The sequence below is a fragment of the Homo sapiens genome, chromosome 6 (genome assembly GCF_000001405.40).
Source record: "Homo sapiens chromosome 6, GRCh38.p14 Primary Assembly".
Lineage (NCBI taxonomy): Eukaryota > Metazoa > Chordata > Mammalia > Primates > Hominidae > Homo > Homo sapiens.
In genome coordinates this window covers 16,801,527-16,808,219 of record NC_000006.12, presented here as the reverse complement: position 1 = coordinate 16,808,219, position 6,693 = coordinate 16,801,527, and the positions used below count along the sequence as shown (strand labels likewise).

The 6,693-nt window shown below is 42.6% G+C and overlaps 3 annotated features.

Annotated features, from left to right (window-relative positions):
* Window positions 4,588–4,882: a silencer, noted in NCBI's record as "tiled region #6041; K562 Repressive non-DNase unmatched - State 21:Repr". NCBI's record gives its function as "represses a minimal TATA promoter and a strong SV40 promoter by Sharpr-MPRA in K562 cells {active_cell/tissue: K562}" and the evidence as "EXISTENCE:reporter gene assay evidence [ECO:0000049][PMID:27701403]".
* Window positions 4,588–4,922: a biological region, named in NCBI's record as "Sharpr-MPRA regulatory regions 2171 and 6041".
* Window positions 4,628–4,922: an enhancer, noted in NCBI's record as "tiled region #2171; K562 Activating non-DNase unmatched - State 21:Repr". NCBI's record gives its function as "activates a minimal TATA promoter and a strong SV40 promoter by Sharpr-MPRA in K562 cells {active_cell/tissue: K562}" and the evidence as "EXISTENCE:reporter gene assay evidence [ECO:0000049][PMID:27701403]".

Sequence of the window (6,693 nt, the reverse complement as noted above, 5' to 3'; positions counted from 1 at the left end):
TCACAAGAATTGAATTGGGCCTTTCATCTCCTAATACAATGTAATCTGACTTGGGATCAGTTCACTCTTCAAATATGCGTGTAATTTTCAGGTAAATGCCTAGCACTGTGTATTTAGATGACAATGTTAAAATGGTTTTTAAGAGGATTCACCTTTGTGAACCACTACGCCTCTGCCTGAACCACTCATGTTTTTTCTTTTTTCTTTTTAGCCCGTCTAACTCTTCTCTGTATCAGTCAAGGTCCAGCAGGAAATAAATGGCACATGAAAATTAAGATAATTTGAGGGGGTTGTGGAGGAAGAACAAAGGGTAGTGCAGAATCCTGGGCCCAGTTACAGCAGAGCCATTACAACCCCCGGGACCAAAGGGATAGATGACATTTAAATGGAAGAAGAGGGGACACGGTGGCTCACGCCTATAATCCCAGCATTTTTGGGAGGCCAAGGCGGGCGGATCACCTGAAGTCAGGAGTTCAAGACCAGCCTGGCCAACATGGTGAAACCCTGTCTCTACAAAAATACAAAAAAAAAAAAAAAAATTAACCAGGCATGATGGTGGGTGCATGTATTCCCAGCTACGCGGGAGGCTGAGGTGGGAGAATCGCTGAAACCCGGGAGGTGGAGGTTGCAGTGAGCCGAGATGGCGCCATTGCACTCCAGTCCAGGTGATAGGGCAAGACTCTGTCTCAAAATAAATAAATAAATAAATAAATAAAAAATAAATGAAAGAATATATCTTAAAACAAGTATTTGGAGTCTACCATGTGGTAGAATATCAGATGCTAGATGCAGGGACTAGTGTAACCAACACGTTCTCCTCCCTCCTCATGAGACTTTGCAACCTAATGGAAGACAGAGACACTCAACAAATGACTACACAAATAAAGATCACATACAGTGGTTAGGTTCCAGAAATGAAAAGTAGAGGAGGCTGTGAGAAATTCTAGCAGAGAGGCAGGACCTGGTCCCACCCATCAGGGAAGAATTTCCTGGGAAAGGGATGTTTGGGCAGTCATCTACTGCAGGTAGGAGTTTCCAGTGGCAGCAAGAGTAGGCAAGGAGGAACTCTTGTGGGGTGGTGGGAACAGTGCCTGTGGAAACCCTCACCTTAGAAAGGACTGGGAGCATTCAAAGCTCTGGAGAAGCCCAGTGTGGCTGAAGCTCAACCCATCAAGGGAGAGAGGAGGAACGGGAGCTGGAGGGCCAAATCCTGACGGCTCTCACCATGGGGGCTTGGGATGTGAAGAGGAAAAAGTCATAGAAAGATTTTAAATTTAGGGGATCCGTCTGCATTTTTAAAAAGATTCTTAAAGACAAGGGATACAAGGGCTGTGTTTGGCTTATTTTCCAGCCCTGCATGGTAGCTTACACATAAGTGGGGCTTTTCCTATTTGTTGTTCTGGATGTCAGTACTGTGAGAAAGGTATTTTAGAAATTGTGTTTAGTAGTAGAAACTAAAAGACAGCTTGTGGAATTAAGTTTGGGATGAGCAATGGTGACTTTCCCTCAGGAAATCTGTTTTCTCTGATTACCATATGTCAGGGTCTCATAAAATGAAAAAGATGCAATTGCTTAAAACAACATAACATCAGCATCAGGAAAACGTTATTTTTTATGTATACCATCAGCTATGAAATCAGAATTTAAATCACGGTTTACTACTTCCTAGCTGTGTGTCCTTGGGCAGGTTGATTAGCCCCTCTGTGCCTCAGTTTTTTTTCTCTGTAAAAGAAGAATATGATAATAGTAGTATCTATTTCATCTCTTTATTGTGAAGAATAAGTGAAAAGCATGTTGAAGACTGCCTGGCACAAAGTTAAGTGCCCAGTAGATGGCATCTATTATTTAATTGCATACAAATTTCACGGTGCATATAAAAAGTTTTCCCCCAATGTTAAAATAATTTACTCTTAAGTGTTCCTGTTCCTTGATTCTTAACAGTGGCTATTTATGTGCTCATAATAATTACATAATGGCAAAATGACTTTTACAGTTATGTTTAATGCATCAGCTTTCAGTTGGGCTTATTACATAAAGTAATAAGAACATGTCTCCCTAATATTAAGTTGTTTTCTGATACACTCTGGATAATTCACTTTAGGAAATGTTGAAAGCTAACAACACATAAACCCATGGTATGTAATTTTCCCTGATTTCCGGATCATGAGAGGTGTTATGAAATGTATGTGGGGTTTATATACAGGCATCGTCTTTTTTCTTCCTCCTCTTGCCCATCTCTCACAACTTGCAGAAAGCTGTGTATTTTAATATTTTAATTCCCCACTCTTTCTCATGTATTCATAAGTGAAAATATGCACATTAGCACGATTTTATTTTTCAAGCTCATAAAGGTTAAAAGGCATCCCTTAGCTCAGTAGGCAAGACATTCATTCTCTTTCTCTTTGCTGCAAAACAAGGCTCCTGGTCTGCTAGTTTCATAAATCATTCTCCAACTAGCCCATGACAGACAAAAATCAAAGAACAAGTTAGCACTCAGCTAGTTACAGATTAGAAATCAGGTGACAGCAGGCCCCATTGTTTCTTCTATAATGTATCCCCCCAACGGGTATGCTGCTGTGCCTGGGTGAACACTCCCATACTTGTTGACAGAATTATTTTTAGAAAGTAATGCTTTCCCATTTATAAAATCCAGAGAGAGGCAGCATGATGTGTAGGCGGTAGCTCTCAGCTGTGGCTGCAGATCAAAATTACCTGTGGAGCTTTTAAAAATCTGCAGATGCCATGACCTAACTCCAGACCAATGGTTTTCAGCCTGGGCTGCATATGTGAATTGCCTGGGGAGTTTTTGAAGACTAGGATGCCTGCCAGGCAGCCCCACCCCACACCGACTGCATCAGAATCTCTCTGGGGGTAGGGCCTAGAGAGAGTCATTGCTTAATCAGCGGTCCAGGTGATTTTAACTTATGGACAGGCCTGAGAGCTACTGCTCTAGATAGATGGAATGACTTAGCCATTTAGCAAGTACCTGCTGACTGCTACTATATAGAAGGCATTGCTGGGAACGTTGCCGTTAATATAATACATACTTCCTGCTCTCCTGGGCTTAGAAATGCAAATAAAAATGTTCAGGGGTGGGCCCTAGGAATCTGAAGCTGATTATTTTTAAAGCTGATCAGCCAAGCTTGAGGATCAGAGGGTAGGAGAAAAAGCTGAGAGTCAGACAGCCGTGTTTGAATCTTGGTTCCTCTCCTTACTGGCTGTTTGGTTTGGGGTAAGTTACGTAACTGTTCTAAGCCTCTGTTTCCTGATCTTTAAAATGGTGGAAAGCAAATCTTCCACACTAGGGCCATTATGAGTTTTAAATGAAAAAGAAATCCGTAGTAATCTTGGTGCAGTAGCTAGTTTCTACTAGGCATTCGATAAATGTTAGTTTTCTCCCTTCCTCCTCCCCTTCATTTCTCCGTTGTCCTTAAAGCAATAGGTTGGTGCTAAATATGTGGGATGTACAATTGAAGTATGAGACACTGCCCCTGCTTTCTAGGAGTTATGGTGCAATAAACAATTAGAGAGCAACCGCATGGTATGAAAGCTATACCTAGGTGTGTGGTATTGGCTACTTTTATTGCTGCAGGGGTTCTGGCTGGAGAGAAATAATCACTGAGAATCAGGAGACAGAGAATGTTTCCTAAAGAGGAAGGATTTAAAAGGAGTTTTGAAAGGTGGGTAGGTTTTGCCAGAAGAGGAAAGGGAGGGTATTACAGGATGAAGGAAATAGCACAGCAAAGGTAACTTCTTAATGATACCTGAAGGTAGGTCATGTTTAAAGACAATGTATATTTTGCAAGCACTCATTTGACATGTGTCTATGCATGTCACGGATCAAGAAAGTGGGGTTTCCTTTTTGATCAGTGTGAGAGTGAATGACACTGTGTGAGTTTTATGTGTTTCATGTACGAGGTATATATTTCTAATGATACATGCATTTGTTTTGTATGTATTTTCCCTGCTACATTAGTTAGGAAAATTTTGCATACATCCATGTATTTTTACTTGCCTTCTCCTCAGGGGGTAGCAGCATGCCTTCTTAGAAAAACCCCACGTGCTTCATAAATAACAATGAATTTTCTGAACACGTAGAACAAAGAGCTGAATAAAGATGACATCATCCTCCTTAGAGTGAATTTTCATTCAGGTTATCATTTAAGTCCTGCTAGAGGTTTGCCTGGAACAGTTAGTCCCTGACCGATTGTGAACAGCAAAGGGAGTGGATCTGCTTAAGCCTCTGTCGCTGTTTGAGAAAGGCGAGCGAGCATCTCAGTAGCCGCCTCCTGCCCCAGCGGCCCCAGCCTTATGTTCCCCACCCTCCAGTGCAAGGTCTGGGCCTCCTCCCAGGCTCTGATGACAGTTGCTCACAGCTTCTCCCTCCTCTGCTGAGATGACTTTGAATGACCTACTTTGAAAATGGTATGAACTCAGCGGAGTGCCCAGGCGTTGGGGTGCAAACGGGCCTGCCCAGAAGGGCTTCCTGCAGAGGAGAGCGGGCTCTCCGGGGTCCCTCCAGAGGCTGCGTGCACGGTTTTGTTTTGGTGGTGGTTGCTCTTTTTTTCTCCCCCAGGGCCTTGGCTGTTACAATTCATCTTTATGCTCTTGGAGTACAGGCTAGTGATTTGCTGGGCCGCTGTTAAGTCAGAGGACGACAGCCAATCAGAGCAGGATTCTGCCCTGTCTCCCTGCTGCAAACTGCTGAAGTAGTAATGAACCTGAACGCGAGGTTTCAGGCTGAGCTCTCAGCAGCAGCCCAAGAGCGCTCTTTCCAGGGCAAAGCGGGGAGGAGCAGGAATTCTCGGAGCTGAATGACAGATCAGCGGCCTCCTGAGGCCTGTACCTTGGCTGCCACGTGGAGTCTTGGCTAAGCCTACCTTCCACCCAGCTAATTTTTTTCTCTGAGTTATGTGGCTTTTAAAACCAACATGGATGTCTATAGGGTGTGGGGAAGGGAGACAAGAAGGCAGCCAGGCAGAAGTGTTGGGAATTACTTTACCGCAACCACTTTCAGTAAAGTCTCCAGATCATCCCCTTTTCCCCTACTTCAATGACTGCCCACTAAAAAAGGAAGCCAGCTTTGAAATGATTTGAACTTGTAAACTAGCTTAAAAATGACTTTTTTGCAAAGCAGTGATTCTGAGTTCAGAATAGATACATTTCCACTATTTATCATCTGATAAAACTCTCCCTAAAGTGAAAAGAACAGGAGCTGATTTATCAACTTTTCCTTCAGGATATTTACAACATGTTAATTTGTCTGTGTTGGATCAGCTTGGGCCATTATCAATATGAAGGAAGAGAAAATTTTACTTTAACTCCTGTACGTGAATCTAAAATGGAACATTCAGTATTTATCTGAAGTTCCATTTAAAACTATCTGCATAGAACATCTGACCTGCTATTCAGAGTGCTTCTCTTGTTTATTTGGATTTTTTGAGTCTGTAAAGATATTTTCCCATGATTTTCTATGAAACCCACCACTTTCAGTTTCACCCAGCATTCTAGTCTTCTTCAGACCTTGGTTTGTGGAGTACAATCCATTGAGGGCCATGAAAACTTCCCTGAAAGAGACCTAGCAAAATGTTACATATGGGATTATCACCTTGAAATGCTATGCATGATTCTTTGCACAAATTCACAGTTGGTAGCACATTGGTAAATGTTGGCAAAAATGTGCTATAAGGGTTTTAAAATAGGGAACGATGAGCACATATTTTACCCATTCTGAAGTGCGTGGAATCTCTTCCATGCAATATAGGCTCAGTGTTGCTGGCTCCTGACTTTCCCTAACTTGTTGGGTGGACAAGTTGTATGGGGGAAATGAGAAGGAAGACAGGAAAGATGGTAGAATTAGAACACGTGTTCAACACTCAACAGTTGCTGGCTGTATGCACAATATGAGCCAGTCTGGGTCCTTACATCATCTTTGGCAAACCATCGTCCCTTTCTTCATCCAGCTCCTTGTGGCTTTCTGGCTGACAGATGTAAAAATAGAGGCTACAATAGAGCCAGCAATTTTGTATCAGCAGGATCACTCACACATGCCTCACACTGGCAGCAGGTTTTAATTTTAAAATCAGAATGAAGGTTTCTGTGCTCAAGACTTTAGGGCCACTAGGCCAAAAAAAATAAAAAAGAGAGAGAGAGAGAGAGAGGCCCAAACTCCTTTGGTGGGACGATAGGTGAAGGGAGGACCTAGCCCTGAGCTGAGAAAGGATGTAGGAATAAAGCCAGGTACTGAGAAACCAAGTAGCTTATTACAGACAGAAGAATCCACTGTAAAAGACAGTTAGGAGACTGTGTGTCTCTTAGTCTCCTAACCTGGAAAGCTGTCAGAATGACTGGGACAGGGTTTTGCAGGCAGCTTTCAAGATGGGATGGAGAAAGCTACTGTGGTTGGGTGAAAGCATCCATATTTTTCCCCAAAAGGGTTCAAAATGGCTTCTGTTTTCATTTGCAGGCCAAGTAAAATGTTGCAGGCTTCATGAAGTCATTTTTCATTGTTAACTAATATTCATTAACTTATTAAACATGTGGATGCATATGATACTGTCACAAGAAGAGCTAGGCAGCCCTCAGGGAATATATAAAAGCAAACAGAGGGGAAGCCTCTTCATGCAGCTCATGGTGATGCCAGATCTTCCTCCTTTCCCCAATGAAGGCTTCCAAATGCATCTATTTAGAACA